Source organism: Homo sapiens, chromosome 7 (genome assembly GCF_000001405.40).
Source record: "Homo sapiens chromosome 7, GRCh38.p14 Primary Assembly".
Taxonomy (NCBI): Eukaryota; Metazoa; Chordata; class Mammalia; order Primates; family Hominidae; genus Homo; species Homo sapiens.
Genome location: NC_000007.14, coordinates 103,968,196 through 103,990,027, shown reverse-complemented (window position 1 = coordinate 103,990,027; position 21,832 = coordinate 103,968,196). Strand labels below are relative to the sequence as shown.

At 39.6% G+C, this 21,832-nt stretch overlaps 1 protein-coding gene across 2 annotated transcripts in view; it reads left to right on the top strand.

Annotated features, from left to right (window-relative positions):
* Positions 370-21,832, top strand: part of RELN (reelin) — a 517,870-nt gene continuing 496,407 nt past the window's right edge. For both annotated transcript variants that reach the window (NM_173054.3, NM_005045.4), the window contains exon 1: positions 370-897. In NM_173054.3, coding sequence (NP_774959.1) covers positions 672-897 — 226 coding nt within the window. In that variant the 5' untranslated portion in view covers positions 370-671. The remainder of the gene's footprint in view (positions 898-21,832) is intronic.

Sequence of the window (21,832 nt, the reverse complement as noted above, 5' to 3'; positions counted from 1 at the left end):
AACAGGGCACACTGACGGCCAAAGGGGCTGGCCTTCCCCTTCAGACAGCTGGACGGGAGGTGCCCTCTGCGGGGCTTTGACGTCCCTCGCAGAAGAGTCGCGGGCTCAGCGGTCCTCGACAGCGTCCCCGTCCCGCTCCCCGGCGGGCGCCCCTCCCTGTCCTCCCGGGTGCGAACCGGGCGCTGGCCGGGGACTCCGGGGACGCGTGCGCCCCTCGCCGCGCGAGGTGCCGCCGAGCCAGCCCGAGAGGGCGGGGGGCGGGCGGGGCGGCGCGCGGGGGCGGGGGAGCGGCCGGGACACGTGTGGCGGCGGCGGGGGGGACGCGGCGCCCGGGGCTTTAAGAAGGTGTGGAGCGGGGCGGGCGCTTTCCCAGGCCTGGCCGAGGGGCGTCGCGCAGAGGCGGCGGCGGCGCACGGAGGCGGCAGACGACGCGCTCTCGGCGCCCGCAGCCCCGGTCCCGCGCTCCCGCGGCCCAAAGTAACTTTGGGAGCCGCCGTCTCCCGCGGAACTTCTCGGCGGGGGCCCGCTCCCAGGCCCGCTCCCGAGCCCGTTCCGCTCCCGTCCGCCTTCTTCTCGCCTTCTCTCCGCGTGGCTCCTCCGTCCCGGCGTCTCCAAAACTGAATGAGCGAGCGGCGCGTAGGGCGCGCGGCGGCGGCGGCGGCGGCGGCGGCATGGAGCGCAGTGGCTGGGCCCGGCAGACTTTCCTCCTAGCGCTGTTGCTGGGGGCGACGCTGAGGGCGCGCGCGGCGGCTGGCTATTACCCCCGCTTTTCGCCCTTCTTTTTCCTGTGCACCCACCACGGGGAGCTGGAAGGGGATGGGGAGCAGGGCGAGGTGCTCATTTCCCTGCATATTGCGGGCAACCCCACCTACTACGTTCCGGGACAAGAATACCATGGTAGGTACCGCAGCACCTCCGCGCTCGCCGCCGCCGGGTGCGCCCGCCAGCGCACCTTTCTCATCCCTTTCCTTCTTCCAAGGGGCCTTGGAAACAAGAACCATGACAACCCTGGCCCCAGCGATGCGCTTGGTCCAGGGAGCGAGAATAAAGTTAGTGGAGAATGGAGTCACAAGTTGGGATTCATTCTCCATGTCCCCACTCCCCGAACGCATCTCCTGGTAATGAGCTGGTGCTTGTGCTAAACGCCTGAGAATTCTTGGAGGCCGGTGTCTTTCCCCCTCACTCCCCGTACTTACCGCAGGCACTTTAAATTGAACCTGCGCATTTTGTTTCTTTACTCCTAGGACTTGGATTTCAGACCTTTGTCCTGCTCCCGGTCCCCCCAGATGGGTCCCCGGGGGGGCGTTGGGGGCTGTCGCTGGGCTTTGCGGGCAGGCTGGTGACAGATTGAAGCGCCCAGGTCTGTGGCTGCCCCGCGCCGCTCGACCGCAAAGTTCCCGCTGCTCACCAGCCAGGAGTCCCTGGCATTTCATTCAGTGTCATACAGCCCTCCTGAAAGGGAGCGGCTGCTTCCAGCTCCCTATTCTTTTGAAAGTGTGATTTAATATGTCAGTAATTGATGATTTTTCTGATTCCTGCCTTACTTTTACATGGTGCTTCTTGTTAGAATTATCTTTGTGATGTTTATTAATGACTTTGTATTTTATCTGCACAGCTTTAATTTCCAGGTAGAGGCTGGAATCCCTTATAATTTAGAGGTATCTTAAAAATGGAATCATTATGCAGCCCTGCATCAAAAATAAACATTACAGAAGAAATAAAATTTAGCTCCAAGAAATATAATATTATGTAGTACATGTATTTTAAGCTAGTACATCGAGTATGTGGAAAAATAAAAAATGTCTCTTTTCTGTATTTCTTCTGGGACTTCTGAACATTTCATGCCTATAGAGCTTTTAAGCAGCGACAGGCACTATTTAATTAGAATTTCAACCCCAAAATATTTATACCCAACCAAATAGAAACCATTGTCCAGTAGGCTCCTGTTAATAGTTTCTATCTCTAATAGGCTAACAATCATTGGCATGGCGGGAGATAATCTACGGGGTGCTAGCACTTAAGATAGACAAGCATTTAAAAATTGTAAGAATCCTTAAGATTTTTCTGTTTTTAAAAAAACCTTGATATCTATTATAAAATATTTAGCCTAAATAAACGTCTCCTAGAGGTTTTAAACAGTGCTTTTACAACTTCCTTGTGGCATGGTGGCAGCCTTGTCTGTAAAGCAGAAGTTTAATTTGGTGGAATTTTAGAAATAATTTTGGAAAATTAATGTTCTGTAACTAGTCCCTTTTTAGATAAAAGTGCTTACTACGCCCTCTTCCCAAGAACAATCTAGTGCTTTTCTGAGATAATGAGAATCTTTAAGTGGAAGGAGCAGCTACTGTGATGGCAACCAGACCTAACCCAAAGCCTGATTGACAGCCTGCTGCTCCGTGCGACTCTTAGCAAAAGTTCTTGCCCGGTATGATCTCTCAGTGAGAACGGTGGGTAAGTGAGTGAGGCTGGTCTCAAAGGCGTGACTGTCAGGTTATGATGGAAGACCATGTGATGATACAAAGCTTTATTATTATTTTTTCTGTTTTCCACATCCTTTGGAAGGTCTCGATATTGAAAACTTAACTAAAAACACCAAAATATCATACACCCTTTGGTTTTGCTCCCTTGCACCCTTGAATAGCAAATGCAAGTCACCTTAAGACTCACCATAATCACATATCTAAGTCTGAAAAGGAATGGATAACATAGAGTAGAAATAAAGTGTAAATACTTCAAGTTGGACATTGCGGAGGAGAATCTCAATTTCCACCTCTTTTCCACCACCAGAAAAGGTAGAGAAATTGTATTATGTAAGTTATGAAAGGTCAAATTATTATAAGCTTTGAGAATTGTGTCAGATTTTAAATTTCTGTTATCTATTTTATTAAACATTTAGATTTTGGAACTAGCTGTAGCTATAGGCCTTAAAGTAAGAGTTTTTTTTTTTTTTTTTGTAAAATGTTCTACAGGTAGAATACATGTTTAAAAATGAAGTGATGCTTATGTATGTCTCTTTTCCTTTTAGGCTTTTGAAAATTAATTTAAAAAATTCAGACACACACACACACACACACACACACACACACACACACACACAGCTTCTGTTAGAATTGAACTGCCAATAGGAAAACTTAATCTCATGTACTTTTGTGGTTGGCCCATTTTGATATGTGACCAAAATGAAAGGTCTTTTGCCCAAGAAGTCTTCTTAAACTTACAAGAAATGTGTAAAATGTTAGCTTGAGACTTTATTTCTAACCTTCTGGATCTTTAAAGTGTAACAGTTATATCAGAAAAAATCAGTCACATTTATGATTTACATTGAAGTCACCATTTGAATGAACCATGTTTAGGTGTAGAGCTGATAGTTGTGACTTTTTTTTTTTTTTTTTTTTTTTACCTAAAAGAATGCATTGAGATAGAGGTGGTGTGCACAATAGCACCTAACATAGAACATTTCTGTAGATCAGTCAGCTGCCCTCTGACACTGGGGTGTGTGGCAGAGCTCAGAATGTAAAATGGGGCAGCAATTGCCAGTCTAGAATAAAAGTGGTTCACAATTATAGGTCCCTGTATGTGTCGTATTTAAATATATCTATGGAATATCTTTAACAAAAATAAAAAATATATAGTACTAAAAAATCTGGAGCTTTCGAGTCTAACAGAATTGTCACAGATTTTTACATTAAGTAGTATATCCATCTATTTTCAGTACTGGCAACTCTATAAATAGTGCATGGTTACATCTGGTGTGTTCTCATCTCTCAATTAAATGTCATTTGGTATCTCTTTCTCATCTTCATATATCTTTTAAATTATGTTATCTCTGACTCTTTTGAAAGGGCATTATTAGTCACAATGAACCATGAGTATACCACAATGTAGAAGCTCAGCGAAAGGAGGTCTCTATACATCATGTTGAATTAGAAAGGTCTCAGGGTCAGAACATTTTTTTTTTCCTAGAATTTCCTTTTTTTTTGCACAAATCCTAAGACATGGTCAGTTTCCGCAATGTGCGTTTCGGGCACCAAACCTGGAATTTTTTGTTTTGTTTTGTTTTGTGTGGTAGAAAGTTGCAAATGATGGGGAAATAGGAAACAAGAACCTACATGGTTTAGTCAGGTAGCCATTTCTGTTTTCCAGCCATGCCCCGTAATCAGCACACCTTCTCCTAGGGACAAAGGCAGTATTGTGAAAAGTGTGATGGTTGGATTGAAGTCTGCACCTTTCCTCACCCATGGTCGTTCCTTTTCCTCACCCCCAGCCATCAGGTATCTACCATCCATTTTGTTTGCCACTCCTCGCCTTGCCCCCAATCAATTTATGGTGAATGTGACTTGTCAGTGTTAAACTTTCCCACATTTTTTATTGTAATTGTAGAAAGATGTCTTTCCCCTCTTTGCTTAAAGTAAGTTTAGCATCACTGAACAGCCAGATAATAGATATGGGGATAGAAAGACTTGGATGCCCCTGAAATCATGTCAGTAAGGAACTGCCCCTCACAAGGTTGGCTTTATTCAGTCCCCATCAAAAAGGAGAGGTCAGCCATTAGAAGAAGACATTGTGCATGAAAGACAAGCGTTAAGTAAATGAGTCTACCCAAAATACTTGAGCTTTGGTGAGACAATGTACCTAAATTTCTGAATGGACTAGAATTTCTGTTACTATGGTAGCATAAGATGGGGGAAGTGTTCCATTAACAATGAGAAGTATGCTCTAAAATATCAACTGAGAGAAAAAAATTTGGCCTTGAGTAGAATTGAATTGGTGATGTGGCATGATGTTTTAAAAGGGGGATTTTACTGTATTTTGTAAGTCCGGCATCACTATTGGTAATTTTTTCATGCTGTATATCTACTCCCACTTTAAAAAAAAATTATACTGTGAGACAGACAGGAAAATCAATGTTCTATTCCTAAAACTAAACATTTACTTAAAAGAAAGGTATAATCAGGATAGAGTATTGAGGGCACTTTATTTTGACAATTTCCAGTATTACTGTTAAAGGCACACGTGTTCTGAAATTAACTGGTTGCTATTTAAAAATTCTTGTTCAAAGGAAGTGCAATTTAATGACCTTTCAAATACCAGATGATATTTATGTCAGACGTAATTTTTGGAAATATATTCCAGATTTAATTCCTTTCAAAGGAATGATTTTATTATTTGAAATAAAGTAATTTGCCATTACTAAAGTAACTGCATTGCTGATCAGGTGATCGGTTATTTATCCTTCATATGTCTGATTCTGGAATCAGTGTATTTAAACTTTCAAAATCATTTGTCAAATGCAATTTATAAGTGAACTGAAGCTGCGTCCTGCTTATATAGGACTATGAAAATTGGGCATTTTAGAGCATTTTGCTCTATTTGTTACATATTTATCTTACTCTCTACAATTTATTTCATACATATTTTACTGATGTGGTTGAGATTGTTTCTTAAATCATAAATCTTGCTTCCTGTAATTTATATTCACTGTGAGTTTCAATTCCAATTTTAAACTAAAATCAAGTCTTTACAATTATAGTTCAAAATATTTCATTTTGGCAGAAATTCCTACTTCATTCATTCCTACATTACTAGGAGTTATTTAATTATATTTCCTTCCAATTTGTGTGAATCTTTGTTTTAAACTATTAGTTTTATTTGCATTGAAAATGTTAATAAAATGGTAATGTTGTATCGTTGTAATAATATGAATATAGTTTTTACAGAACTGTTTTATTCCAGTAAATTTGACTTTCCATCTTTAAAAAGAGTGATATTTTACCAAGATTTTAAAGTCAGCATTTTTGACTTTCAAATTTTTATGGATTAGTTTTATTCAAAAGAAAATATCTAAAAATCTGTCTTTGATTTTTTTTTTTTTTTACCTCCTGGGAATTGGTCAACTTTATAGAATAAACTAGAAGCCTTACTCCATCAATTATTTAAGATTGGTTGCATATTAAGCCATAATTGTTTTTCTGATCACTTCAAGTGCTAGTTTGAAACTTATGTTATATCTTTAATCTTCATAAATAGTTGCTGATGCAATGACCCCTTTATTTCAAATAACCTTTACATTTGAAAAGCATAAATAAATTGAGTGACCAGTACTTTTTGAACATTTACATTTTAAAAGACATACACACACACACACACACACACACACACACACAGAAATATGAAGTTCTTTGTGTCACATAGAAATAGAAAAACTGGATAGCACTACACTCCGGAAAAAAAGGAAGGTGGAGTGCATTAGGTTGGAATGGGCAGGTTCACTGTGGACAGAGAGAGGTGGTTTAGGCTATGCCTGAGTAATGACTTAATACACGTTAAAAGGCAAATTGACTTATCTAAGTATTTTCATTTCAAAAACATTGGGGTGATTAATCCACCCTCTTTACCTGATTTTAGAGTCATTTTAAAAATAACTGAACTCTATAGCATTTCAGTCTCATCAACTTTAAGCAAAAGCGTTTTAAAAGCCCTATTTCAGATACTCGAATTGAATTTTCAAATATGAATATCTCATAATGACTGTTCAAACGCAGGAATTGTGTAGCTTTAAAAAATTATTGGCTCTTAGGACATTCCGCATGAAATGACATGATCTCACTTTGGTGTCAGTTATGTGGCTCAGAAAGTAATTTTCACCACAGTCACCTGCCATGCCCATCTCATTGAAGGCAGAGCTTCTGAAGGGTTGAATGCTGTGCCTATAGGTTAGCCAATTATTTTTAAAATGTGTGCTTCTCTAAAACTATACCTATTTTTTTCTTTTTTATTCTATCCTCTCTAAGAACCAATTATAGCAAATGTATTTGAGGATGTGTGTGTGGCAGGGGGATCAGTACAAATGTAGAAATGTTGATTTGTGGTATAAGGCAGCCCTAAATCACTCAAAATAAAAAACAAAGCTAAGATAATTAGATAGCATTGAATCCCACTAAGAAATAGTTACAAGCGTTCTGAGTTTTCAAAGTAAATGTTTAAAATGCAGGTTATCCTTTAATGCTGAATTAGCTTTCCTTAACAAAATAAAACTTTATGTTGAAAACAAAATAAAATTTTATTATAGCTAGGCACAGTGGCATATGCTTGTGATCCTAGCTACTTTGGAGACTGAGACAGGAGGATCACTTGAGCCCAGGATTTCAAGACCAGCCTGAGCAACGAAGTGAGACCCAGTTTAAAAAGAAAATTATTGATTAAAATACTCTTACATGATAGGAAAGGTGACATGTTATAGATAGCACCGATTATTGATGTCCACTGGTGCCCACAAACCAAGTGACCTGAAAAGGAGTGACAGTAGACCATAAGGACTAAGGTCACCTTAGTCCTCTCTCTCTGCCTTTCCCATCTCCTTCCCACTGTATCTCATCTTCTCTTCCTCTCTCTAAATTTTATCTTTGTCTTTCCTCCTTTGCTTCCTTTGACTCCATGCCATGGTCCTTGCTTTCCCTCTCCTCTTCCTTTCTCCTTTCTGCTTCACCACTTTGTTCTTTTTCTTTTTAAATTCTTTCACTTTCTTCCCTTCAGGTTTCCCCCATTGCCATCTCTACACCTTTTTTCTCTTCTTACTGATAGTAATATGAAAACAAATCAGTACATTTATTATCAACTATTTAGGTCGGTCATAATTCTTGTATCAAGCTCTGAATTGCTGTGGTCCTCCCATAGAATTTCTTCATATCGCTGAATTACATGGAGCTGCAAGGGAGCCATGGAGGTGAGTATTTTTTAACTGGATGCTGAAGATAGACCCGTGTTCATATCTTGCTCTGCCATTTATTGGCGGTATAATTCAGCGATATGAAGTGAAAATCTGTTGATTAGGGTCTTTGGGAAGGTTCTTTTTATTATTATTATTGAGGCAGAGTCTCAGTGTCGCCCAGGCTGGAGTGCAGTGACACCTTTTCGGCTCACTGTAACCTCCACCTCCTGGGTTCAGGCGATTCTCGTGCCGCAGCCTTCTGAATAGCTGGGACTACAGGTGCACACCACTAGACCAGGTAATTTTTGTGTTTTTACTAGAGACAGGGTTTTGCCGTGTTGGCCAGGCTGGTCTTGAACTGTTGACCTCAGATGGTCCACCTGCCTTGGCCTCCCAAAATGCTAGGATAACAGGCATGAGCCACTGCACCCAGTCAGAGTCTTTGGGAAGACTCTTGATAAAACTGATAAAGAATATTTTATAAAAGACTCAGCAGGCACGCACTTTTTGCCCTAACCTTGCCTATTCTAGCTCGGAGATGATACAACCATCTTGTGACCTTGAGGATAATGGCCACATGCCAATGATGGTGGAACAAAACTTTAGAGGGAGCTGGGTCCTCCTTTATATCTTCAGGCAGCTATGCCAGCCCTGAAATAATGACGGGACTTCTTGTATTGTGAGAAAAATTAAGTTGTTTCTGTTACTTGTAGCTGAATGCAATCCTAATTAATATGTATTTCATCTAAACACACAGATGTCCCAGTTAACATTTGCTTTTAGGTCAGTCATAATTCCTGTATCAAGCTCTGAATTGCTCTGATCCTCTCATAGAGTTGGTTTTGGTAACCTTGATAAAACTGAGGTGTTTCCTAGGAAATTTTTGACAATATATTTTCAAAATATCCCTTAAGGTATGCTACTTTTACAGGTGGCAAAGATAGTGCATTTTATGTTAGCTTTTCTAATTATGCTTTGAGAAGGTAACCTGTGCCTGACCTCTTATATACTGATAATTTTTGCTTGTTCGTTTCCTTCACCTAACTTTATTTCCTGACACTATCTCTCTAAAATGCAGTGTCACCATATGTAAATCCTGTTGACATTTAAAACATCTAGACGTGTGACATGGTTGTGAATGTGAGCTCTGCCCCATCCTTAACCTTGTTTGTCACATCTGGCTCAGCCTCTAGGACTATATCCAAGTTTGTCATTCCTTTTGCTTATTACATATTGACATAGGAAACAGACATCTGAGTCTTACCTTCAGGAACATGTAATCTCTTTGTTTGGGTCACCTTTGTTGTGAATGTTGAGATATGTTATGATCATAGTTCCAGTTCTTTTCACATTTCCTTTTCTTTAATAAACACTTCCTGTATTCTCATCCTGCAAATAATGTTATATGTCCAGTGTGTGTGATGGAGGAATATGAGGAAATTGGTTGGTTCTAAGCTCTTAGAAAAAGTGGATTTACACTCCAATTTCAAGCACTAATATTACCTGAAAAAAAAGGCAACTCAAAGACTCCTGAATGAATGAATTATGACAGTGACAATAGCAAACCCTAAAGTAGCACTTAATATGTGCCAGGCACTGAGCTAAATGCTTTACACATATTAATTCATGTAATTTTCACAAAATCCTCATGAGGAAGGTACTGTTATTCTCATTTTATGCGTGCATAAACTGAGTCACAGAGAGGTTAGTGTTTTGCCCAAGATGGCAAAGCTGCTGTGTAGTTCTCCAGAATCCATCCTTTTAGATAGTACGCATTTATTTTTCAAAATGGTGGTTATTTCAGAAAAGGAAAATAATAATAAATAATAAAACTAATCTCAAAAATGAGAAAACAAAGAAAAGTAAAAGCTAATTTTATTATTTAAAATAGAGATTGCAAAATCAAACCAGAAAGCTGATATCTATGCTAAACAAAGCTGGAATTTCGTACCCATAAGTCCATAATTCTTTGACCAGACATTGTCTCCCAGGTAAAGCACAAAGCAATCACCTAGTATACTGTTGGCCTGAAAGAGTTAACATGCCTTCAAAATATAATGACACATAAAAATACAAAAAAAGTGATTTACAACCTTTTTAAAATTTATTTTTAATATTTTGATAATATAATTTTTATTAAGAATTTTTTTTTTTTTTTGGAGACAGAGTTTCGCTCTTGTTGTCCAGGCTGGAGTGCAATGGCATGATCTTCCGTCAACGAAACCTCCGCCTCCTGATTCAAGCAAGTCTCCTGCCTCAGCCTCCTGAGTAGCTGGGATTATAGGCATGCGCCACCACACCCAGCTAATTTTGTATTTTTAGTAGAGACAGGGTTTCTCCATGTTGGTCAGGTTGGTCTCGCACTCCCGACCTCAGGTGATCAGCCCACCTCGGCCTCCCAAAGTGCTGGGATTACAGGTGTGAGCCATCGCGCCTGGCCAAAAAATTTTAAGTAATGAAGAAACGTGTTCTCTCACACACTAATAGAACTTATATAGGATTTGAATATAAGAGAATTGAAAAATGTAGGTGGGGAGGGACATTTTAAAGATATTTATTGAAGTTCATCTATTGTATATTCCTCTCTTTAGGAAATTCCAGTAAATGTTGTTAGTCTGCAGGCACAGCCTGTGAAACTGAATGATGTGGCACACGGTAGAAGTCCTTGGTGACCACTGAGTTTCTGCATTCTGACCTGTTCACTGCTCAAAGTTCTGCTCTTACAGTGATATAAACCCAATGGGATAACATTTGTTTTTACTTGCCTTTGTGGAGTTATTTTTCATACATGGATCAGATCTTCAAAAATCACTTTCTGTTGAGCTAATTTGAATGAGAAAAAAAGCAGAGCAACTGCTAAGCATCCTTTCCAGCCCTTGCCTCCAAGTAGTCCACCTGCTGCCACAGAGGGCAGAGCTCAGCTCTAGACTTTATGGCAACCAGGCTAGGAGTGAAGCATGAGGGATGGCAAGGCATGTGTCATGTCTAGTGATAAGAAGTGGGGTCTGCCCTTGTCTCATTCTCCGGTAGTATAGGAATGTTTCTTGATTTGTCACCATTATAGTTTATTCCAAAGTTTGCGGTCAGAGCTGAACCAAGATCCGCTGACCCCTGGTAAAAGTTAAATAAAAGGGCCGAGGAGAGATTCAGGCTGAGAGCTTCCTATTCAGAACCTACAGAGGTTCTCAGAGGGTTTGAAGGTGGGCTCATGTTCTTACTAGGAGAGAAAAACTTGCCTCATTGGACTTTAACGACTCAAAGGAGCCTTTATACAAACATCACCAAAAAGTGTAGAGATGTTCCACATATAGATGTTTTCTTTTCTCAAGCCTGAAACACCAGATCATTTCTCCCTGTACCATTCTCTGATGAGCTGTGCTAAGTTGTAGCTCTGATGTGCAAATCTGTGAGCCTCCAGGGTGGGGAGGGTAGGAAGCCATGAGACTAACGTGATTTCACCTGATGCAGGTATTACAACTTTTAGAATTTTTATTTCAAATGTAAGTGGTTTATGCCAGACTGTTAACAGAAACTGAGGCAGACATGTCAATTCCGAAATATTTTAAACATAGAGAACTCCAATAAATGAAGAGTTCAGAATTGGTATCACTAATGAGTACCCAGGGGATAGCTATCTGTATTCATTGAAATGAAATGCAAATGCTCTAGAGATCAGATTCACCTCAATTATTAAAATAATGATTGATTTGACACGTATTGCTTAGTGATTTTTGCTCATCCGAACAAGTTTGTCCTGTACCATCTAGACCAGTCATTCCTAACTCTTTCTACAACACAATGAACAATATAGAAGCTCTGCAAATATTTAAGAATAGGAAATACTGAACGAGGTGTGTGCTTCCTTGCCATCCTGTAGAAGCAGTCACTAATGGAATACTATTCAGCCTAAAAAAGAAGGAAACTTTTCATTTGTGACAACGTGGATGAACCTGGAAGGCATTATATTAAGCGAAATGAGCCAGGGAACAGAAAGACAAATATCACATGATTTCACTTATATGTGGAATCTGAAAAAAGTTGAACTCATAGAAGTAGAGAATAGAATGGTAGTTGCCAGGTGCTAGGGATTGGGGTGGGTGGGGAGATGTCAGGCAAAAGATAGAAAATTTCGGTTAGGAAGAATACATTCAAGAGATCTATTGTACAACATGGTGACTAGTTAATAACAACATATACTTCTTATCAAGATGTTTAATCTCAAATAAAAAGATGTTCATTTCTTTGATTAATTTAAGATAAATAGATGTTTTCATTGGGTAAAAAGAATGTTTCTCCTTAGAAATATTTCTTAGTGAAAGAAACATTTGTAATCAGAATTTAAGGATGGTTATTAGAGTATTAAGCTTTTGTTTTGCTGGTATGGTATTCGTCTCTAAACCTTTATTTTTATTTACCTTGGAAAATTGACCCAACTTGGAAAAGCGTAAATTTTATTAGCTGCCATTTTGGAGAGTGGCAGGTGTGTCAGGGTACTCTGCTTGCCAGCAACAGAAACCAACTCTGGCTAACTTGGGCTAAAGGGATTTATTAGTAGGAGGTGGGTTAGCTTGCAGAATGGAAGGAAAATCCAAACAGATGTAGAAATGATTCGTGTCTCAAGGAGAAGGGAGTGGTCAACTGCTAAAGGAGTCGTGGTAGTAGGAACCAGTAGGGAGGCTTTTCTGGTCTCACAATTGGGATGAATCCTCTCCAACTTCTTTTCATTTTGTTTCATTGAATACTGGATTCAAGTTCCTGGGACCACAAGTATTATTGGCCTAGCAGGGGTAGGGTGGAATTGCGTTCTTATTGTACATATAGATCTAGCCTAAAAGGGACTTAACACTTTTTTAGTTTTGTGGAAATGCCTTCTTCTCTTCTGAAAGTTGCACACTGCAGTATAGGTGACCTCTCCTCGTACAGGAAGCCCAGATACTCCGGGATTGTATCTGCTCTGCCTCACTTCAAACTGCCAGGGAATTTTTTTTTTTTTTTTTTTTTTTTTTTTTGAGACAGAGTCTCACTCTGTCACCCAGGCTGGAGTGCAGTGGCGTGATCTCGGCTCACTGCAACCTCCACCTCCTGGGCTCAAGCGATTTTTCTGCCTCAGCCTCCCAAGTAGCTAGGATTACAGGCGCACACCACCATACCCAGCTAATTTTTGTATTTTTAGTAGAGACGGGGTTTCACCATGTTGGCCAGGCTGGTCTTGAACTCCTGACCTCAAATGATCCACCCACCTCAGCCTCCCAAAGTGCTGGGATTACAGGCGTGAGTTCCCACGCCCGGCACTGCCAGAGATCTTACACTTAACAACCTGCGAGGGAATATCAAAGCCTCTTGGGCTCAAGTGATCCTCCCAACCTCAGCCTCCTGAGTAGCTGGGATTACAGGCACGTGCCACCATACCCCACTCATTTTTGTATTTTTTATAGAGATAGGGGTCTTACTGTGTTGCCCAGGCTGGTCTTGAACTCCTGGACTCAATCAATTTGCCCGACCTCTTGATTGCTGGGACTACAATTGTGAGCCACCATGCTCAGGCCAGGAGGTTGACCATTCTAATGCTTTCAGTGCCACCTTCATGCTGGTGACTGCCTAATGACTCCCTGACTGTCTTAGGCCTTCTGTGTCTTACTGCCCACCCAGTATCTCCACTTGGATGGCTACTGGAGCTTCTTGTTTCCCCTCCCCTGACTCTCCTAAAGCAGCTTCTTCTGTAGTCTCTCCAGCTATATTAAGGCCAACTCCGTTCCTACAATTGTTTCATCTCAAAATCTTTTTTCTCTAATGCTCCACATCAGTTCCATTCCGAAGTCCTGCTGGCCTTGCATTTCAAAACACCCAGAATTTGCCATTGCCTCAGCCACTTCTCACCTGGATATTACAGTAGGCTCCTACAACTGTCTTTGTGTTAACGCTTGCTCACTTTCATTCTAGTCTGAAAATAGCAGCCTGGGTGCTCTGCTAAAAGCCAAGACGATGCCACTCCTCTGGTCTACACCTAAGACATCGTATATTTCCCCCATTTGCCTGTAACAGCCCTGGTCTTTCTCTGTTTTCCCAGTGTCCGTCCAGTTTAGCATTTTACCAACAAAAGTAACAAAATCTAAATAGTAAATTATATAGTCATTCTAGCTATACCTCTGGTTGCTCCCAGTCTGTCTTTGAGAAAAAGATAACATATTCAGCATGGCCTCTCAAACCCTGTAGCACCTGCCTCTTTGGTTACTTTTCTGACGTAGTATTTTACCTCTTATTCCTCCACTGAAACCATAGGGCCTCTTTTTTGTTCTTCAAACACAGTAGGAGCTCAGATCCACCTCAGGACTTTTGCAGTGCTATTCTCTTGTCTGGCATCCCTTTCCCTAGATGGCCTTGTATGCCTGTCCTTTCCTGATTCAGGTCCATACTCAAATGTCACCTTCTCCATGAGGCCTTCCCTGACCACACCATTTAAAACTGCTCCATTCCGGCCGGGTGCGGTGGCTCACGCCTGTAATCCTAGCACTTTGGGATGCCAAGGTGGGCGGATCATGAGGTCAGGAGATCGAGACCATCCTGGCTAACACGTCTCTACTAAAAATACAAAAAAAAAAAAAAAAAATCAGCCAGGCGTGGTGGCGGGTGCCTGTAGTCCCAGCTACTCGGGAGGCTGAGGCAGGAGAATGGCGTGAACCCGGGAGGCGGAGCTTGCAGTGAGCGGAGATTGCACCACTACTCCAGCCTGGGCGACAGAGCGAGACTCCGTCTCAAAATAAATAAATAAATAAATAAATAAATAAATAAATAAATAAATAAATACTGCTCCATTCTTCCCAGGACCCATATCCCCTTGACTGCTATATTTTTCTTCATTGCTATTATCGTCCTGTCTGTATTTTGCTGTTTTACCTTGTTCCCTTTGTGTGCTCTATCAGTATAAATACCTTAAAACCTCATCAAAGCAGGTTTTGCTTGCTCCTCTACTGCCTGTTTTGCTTCTATTCCTAGTGCCTAGAACAGTGCCTGGCACACAACAGGTGCATAAACATTTTTATTTAATCAGTGAGCAAGAATAGCACTTGGGATCCCTGTCTAATATGAGATATAGTTAAAATTGTTGTCTGAAAGTGGCAGTGCCAAGATAATTAATCAAGAGGATCATCTATAAAGATGGGTTTGTGAGTACAATTTCTAAATTTTGGCTTTGAACCTGTGATAACAATGTTTGAAAAGAAAGTCTGAAAACCGTGTTTCTACTTTCCCACTCTTCAAACTTACAAAATTCTCATGTCTTCTGTGAGAATATGCAAAGCTATTTATAGCAGTCTGTTGGAATGAGTTTACTTTAACTATATGTTAGCATATCCAAAATAGTTCTCATAGCAATTAGTGACTACAATTATTAATAGAAACTATAATAGATTTAAAGTTGTTATTCCCAGAAGCTTCTCTATGCTGCGCCATAAATAAATTTGAAACAATCTTGATGAATGGGTAGCTAGTTTGTATTTAAATTTTCATTTGAATAGGAATAAATAGTGGGAAGGATAGAAACCAAAATCGTTTGGCTCCATACTCAACAGATATGTAATAACCTTATAGAAAACACACAAAAATGGAAACTCGACAAATTTCCCCAAAGATTTTGTCTTCTAAGAGAAATTTACTTGGACAGTGATGAACATACAAAGGGAACAGCAGCTGAGAATTCTGCATCTTCATTAAATTACATGTATTGATATCCTATAAGTTAAGAGGATCGGAGGCTCCAAACTTATGGAAATTAACATGAATGTTTCCAAGGACTTGTTAGTGAGAATAGCTCAAATCTTATAGATAATGTAGAAATAAAATTCCACTCTATCCATAACATATTTAGATATTTTAATTTATGAGCCTTTGAAATCAGAGATGGCTTAACTCTCAGGGATTTGTGGTAGTGGATAGCCCACAGGCTCAGGAAATGGACTGGCTGAGTTCATTTCCAAGCTTTGCACTTTTAAGTCATGTGGCCTTGGACAAGGGATCTCACTTCTCTATGTCTCCGTTTCCTTGTCTGAAAAATAGTGATGATAGTACTCGTCACACAGGGTTGTTTTGGATCTTCAGTGAGTTATTGCATATGAAAAACAACATTATGCCTGTCACAGAAAATGTTAAGTACTATTTATTTATTTATTCATTTACTTTTTGAGATGGAGTCTTGCTCTCTTGCCCAGGCTGGAGTGCAGTGGCACCGTCTCGGCTCACCTCAACCTCCACCTTTTGGGTTCAAGCAATTCTTGTGCCTCAGCCTCCCGAGTAGCTGGGATTACAGGCATGCACCACCATGCCTGGCTAATTTTTGTATTTTTAGTAGAGATGGGGTTTCACCATGTTGGCCAGGCTGGTCTCGAACTCCTAATCTCAGGTGATCCACCCGCCTTGGCGTCCCAAAGTGCTGGGATTATAGGCGTGAGCCACCACACCTGGCTGAGTATTATTATTATTATGACATACTTTTTGTTATTTTTTCCTGTGATTAAAAAGGAATATATTTATTTAATCTATTTATAGTCTTAGGAATTATGATCTTTTTAATCTTAACATTATGTGCTCTTGATATCAACATTTTTCAAAAACATCATTTTCATGGCTCCACAACATTTTACTGTATGCTGTAGCATAACTTAAAAATCTATAAATATTTCACATTTCAGGTGTTTTTCTTTTGTTTTCAGTGTTATAAACGTTATGATCAATATTTTTGTACATATTTTAAATTTTGGCAAAATTCTTTTCCCTAAGTTGTGGTTTTATTTTTATTTTTTTCATGAATTTTTATATGCCCATTGTGTTAATATATTTATGAAAACAGATACATTTTTGTTTCTTTTGTTTTCTCATATTGCTTTTGTGCTGAGAGCGTCTTTTCCTAATCATAGACAAGGTAAATATTTACATAAATATTTTTCTTATCTTACTATATTTTAAATTGTGGATTATAATAACTTGCATGCATTGTTAGTGGGCTTATCTCACTTGTTTATGTTTCTTTTCCTGTAGAGCAAAGGGTTCCCCTAGAACCACACAGACACTCTCTCTTATTACAGTAACTTCTGCCATTAACTGCCTTGTTCCAGCCACTGTTAGAAACGCTCTTGAAAAAGCTGTCACATGCACCAAATGGGTTGGATTATCACTACTGGCTGTGACAGTTGAGTGCAAATGCCAGATGCCTTTACTTAAACCTTCAGGGCACCTTTGCTCTTTCAACAAAATTCTGGAATTCTACACAGAATTCTTTTTGGGATTCTAATACTCTCTGTTGTGAAACAACTGGATCACAGTAACTGCTGACATCATGAATACATTCTTGCTGATGGTACCTCTTTTTTGGTGTCAATCATAAAGTTTTTCTATCTAATCTTGTAGCACACACACACACACACACACACACATAATCATATGCCCACATACATTAGCAGTGTGTGAAGCATCTATCTCTTTATGAAAGAAAATATTAATAAGCCAGAAAAGGAACACATATGAAATGCAAACTGTGTAGGTTTCTTGTTCTTTCTAATTTAGCTTTAAAGCGATTCCTGCTGCTCTCAGTTCTCTTCTCACCCTTTCTTGTAAGCCTCTGCCTGACAGTGATGCCGCATCTCATCATGGCATTGTATTTTCCTAAATCTAGTAATGTCAAACTTTAGGAGTCTTTGATGGATGATGGCCCCTCTATTCCAAACAGAAGTCAGATGGCCAACGCCAGTCATTGTGATGGGGATCTGCCCATACTTCATCTGCATTCCATCCCTGCCAGTGCTTCTCAGTGGGACAGTGCCATCCACACCTATTTACTCTGTAATTCTAAGAAATATTGTAGAATTTCTTGGGAAGACTTAGAATATTTAGTTATGAGATCCAGTGAAATCCTCTTTCACGTAGTTCTCAGGACCAAGCTCTTCCAGCGCAAGGGAGGAAACTAGTTTCTAAATCCAGTCTCTTACTTGTAAGCAATCTGTGTTTTAATTTGCATACGTGCATGCAGACGTGAATGGAATCAAACTATACCTACCACAGTCAGCTTTTCTCACTCAGCTATATGTGTTCAGCATCTTTCCATGCCCATAAGTACAGAGCTACACCTTTGTTTAGTATTACAGTATATGGATGCACACAAACATACTCAGTTCCCTCTAATATTCAAGTTTTAGATAATACATACAACATTGCAGAGATTTTTTTATTTTTTTATTTTTATCTATTTACTTATTTTTGAGAGAGGGTCTCGCTCTGTCGCCCAGGCTGGAGTACAGTGGCGTGATCTTGGCTCACTGCAACCTCCACCTCATGAGTTCAAGTGATTCTCCTGCCTCAGCCTCCCAAGTAGCTGAGATTACAGGGGCAGGCCACCACGCCCAGCTAATTTTTGTATTTTACTAGAGACGGGGGTTTCACCATGTTTGTCAGGCTGGTCTTGAACTCTTGACCTCAAATGATCCTCCCGCTTCAGCTTCCCAAAGTGCTGGGATTACAGGCATCAGCCAGCATGCCTGGCCAAGATTTTTTTAAAGTTTATTTTTATTATTTATTCAGTGATGCTCAAATACTTTCACAGTATCCATTCCTAGAACTGAAAGTTCCAGTTCAAAATTTATTAATAACACTACAGCTGTTGATACCTACTGTCAGATTGTCCTCCAAAAAGATAATACCACTTTTCATTTTGTCAGGCAGCCTGTCTGCATACACACACTAAATGCTGGGTGATATAATTCTTTTTAGTCTTTGGTATATCTATAGGTTTAAAAAGAGTATTTTATAATTGTTTTATTTTTCCTTCTTTGATTACTAGAAAGGTTGAATAATTTTCTGTCTCATTACTAATTTTGTGCATATCTGTGTATGAATTATCTGTTAAATCCTTTACTTATTTTTAAAGTTTTCTCTTTTTCATATTGATTTGAAAAACTGCTAATGTTAGTAATTCCTTGTAATATATATGACAGGTATTCCCCCCAACCCCCAGTTTGTCCTTTGTCTTTTAATTTTTGGGTAGTCAAATCTATCAGTTGTTTCGTTTATATGGAATGAGCATGACAGTGTGTAATAGTATGATCTCTGGAATCAGACATGCCTGGATTCTAATCCTGACTTGACTACCTTTTTTTCCCTTTTTCTTTTTTTTTTTTTTTTTGAGATAGAGTCTCACTCTTGTCGCCCAGGCTCGAGTGCAGTGGCACGGTCTCTGCTCACTGCATCCTCCGCCTCCCAGGTTCGAGCGATTCTCTTGCCTCAGCCTCCTGAATAGCTGGGATTATGGGTGCCCGCGACCACACCCGGCTTTTGTACTTCTAGCAGAGACGGGGTTTTGCCACGCTGGCCAGGCTGGTCTCAAACTCCTGACCTCAGGTGATCCACCCGCCTCAACTTCCCAAAGTGCTGGGATTACAGGCGTGAGCCACCACGCCTAGCCTTGACTACTTTTTAAAAAAAGAGTTGATTCACATTATCTGTAGTAGTAATACTCAATGAAGACTGTGAACACTGAATTAGTGACTACAGAACCACTGTTCCTGGAGGAAATGTAGAGTTAGGTTCCTGTCACATTTTCATCAAAGCATCAATACATAACTTTGTTTTATGTGTGAGTCTGTTTAAAGACACCTTATTAACTATATGTTGTTGGTTCATTAACGTTGAACTCATGACCAAAGGCAATGTAACTTATGCTTGAATGGATTGTCTTTGTAAGGCACATCACAACCTTCTTTTACTTAGGAACACTAGACAACCTTTCAGCACTATCCTTGGGAGCCATTTTAAACAGTGAAATCACCAAGGTGAAGTGCAAAAAGAAAAAAAAAGAAAAAGAAAAAGAAATAGCACTAAATAAATAATGAGAGGCCGGGAGTGGTGGCTCATGCCTGTAATCCCAGCACTTTGGGAGGCCCAGGTGGGCGAATTCACTTGAGGTCAGGAGTTCGAGACCAGCCTGGCCAAAGTGGTGAAACCCCATCACTTCTAAAAACACAAAAAATTAGCCCGGCATGGTGGTATGTGCCTGTAATCCCAGCTACTCAGGAGGCTGAGGCAGGAGAAGCTCTTGAACCCTGGAGGCGGAGGTTGCCATGAGCCGAGATCACACCACTGCACTCCAGGCTGGGTGACTGAGCCAGACTCCATCTCTAAAAAAAAAAAAAGGAAAAAAAGAAAAGAAAAAAAATGGACAATACAGTATGAGATCTGAAAGAAGAAGGCAGCCTTGTTTGACCTCAGGTGTGGGGTTGAGTATCCGGTGACTCAGATTTTTTGCCACTCTGCATGTACATGTCTTCAAATGACTGTGAGTATTGATATTGGAGTTACAGATAAATTCGTAAATAAGGAATCTGTGAATAATGAGGATAGACTATATACACTGACATGGAAGTTACTTATCTGAGTCTCCTTTCTTTAAAGGTACTCAACTTCGTTAAGTCCCTTTTCTTATATGTAAAATGAAGAATTGCATGTCACATAGTGACACGATAATAAATGAGATATAATATATGTTTGGTCCATAGTAAGCTGGTGAATATTGGCTGCTATTGTTGTATGGTTTCTGCCTTCAGTATTATGCATGGAGAAACTTCCTGAATCCTCAGATTACAAAAACATTTTCATAATCCTTTCTCCTAGTACTTTAATAATGTTTGGTTTTTGCATTTAACTCTCAAATTCATTTGAAATTTATGGCTAAGAAGAGTGATACCTATTTAATTTATTTCCTAGATTTTCGGCCAGTTTTCCCAGTATCATTTATTAATAGAAAATTTTTCTCCTACTAATTCCTAAGGATTTTACACAGTGATCTTTTAAATTACATCTTCTAATTGGCCATTTCTGGCATCTACGAATGTAATTGATTGCCATATATTTTGTACCTAGACATCTTACTGAACTCTCTAAATGTTTTTAAAAACAATGATTGGGGTTGATTTTCTTCCATTTTTAGGAAATATTTTTATGGCATTTAAAATGAATACAGCAATATGGAGAAAAAGGCAGATTGTATACAAACCAGAATGGGCCACAGAATTTAATTTTGCATCTTGCTGAATAAAATTTGTTTTCAACAGTTCATAGGGCATGAACTTTGCCATAATTACTGGAGGAGTTAAAAACCCCAGTTTATTAATCTTAAATGCATTTTTTTTTTGCAAATGCAAACCTCTGTTTTATGAGTGGGAAAACAAGGATAGTTGGAATATTCACACCAGATGTGGGCCTTTCTCTAAACCTTTGGGGAATTAACTCATTATTAGGAGAGCCTTATGAGGTAGGTACTAGTATTATTCCTATTTTACATTTGAGATAATGAAGGCACAGAGAGGTATTGAAACCTATAAAATGTCAAGTTAAATAGGTCATTTCTTTTTCATGATTCTGAAATTTTAATTAAATCTGGTACTTACTGGCTTGTTATATTTCCATAAAACCATGACAATTCATATACAAATTCTTTTAAATATTATGAAGTTTTGTCTGTAATTGTTTTTGTTGTTGTTAGGCAGAATGTCAATGGTAAATTTGACATCCTTTAGCATTTTTGGATGATCATTTAAAAATACATCTTCTCATGGGTTCTATTTTCACCTTTTCTAACTGGTTCTTAATAATCTAATGCCTCTTTTCTTTAGTTGCAAATAAGTTGCAGAAATAGCTTAGTGAAAAGAATTACTAGATGGTTAGATTAGATTTGAATAAGGAAGCAGTAATATCCTTTGTCTTCTTGGATCTCTCATTGAGGAGATCTAATTTCTTCTTTTTTACATTTGCTTACCTTTTACAATTTCTTTCATACTTTTATTTTTTTTTCTGTCCCCTAATTTCTCATAGGCCACCAGTTAGTCCTCAGTAGCAACGCATGGTGCCTGCAGACCTGATGTCAAACCAACTGATGAAAGGGCACTTGGTGTTCCAGGCAGCATCTCTGAGATAATCTAATATACTCTTCTTTAGTTCTCTTACTTCTGAGTTCACATTAAGCAGAATTTAAAGACATTCCTCTTACCTTCAGCCATGTTTGACAAGTCATTTGTGTGAAGATTGTATATAATATATCATAAAGTAATGTTTAGCCTCCCAATATATTTTTCTTGTTTGGGGGAA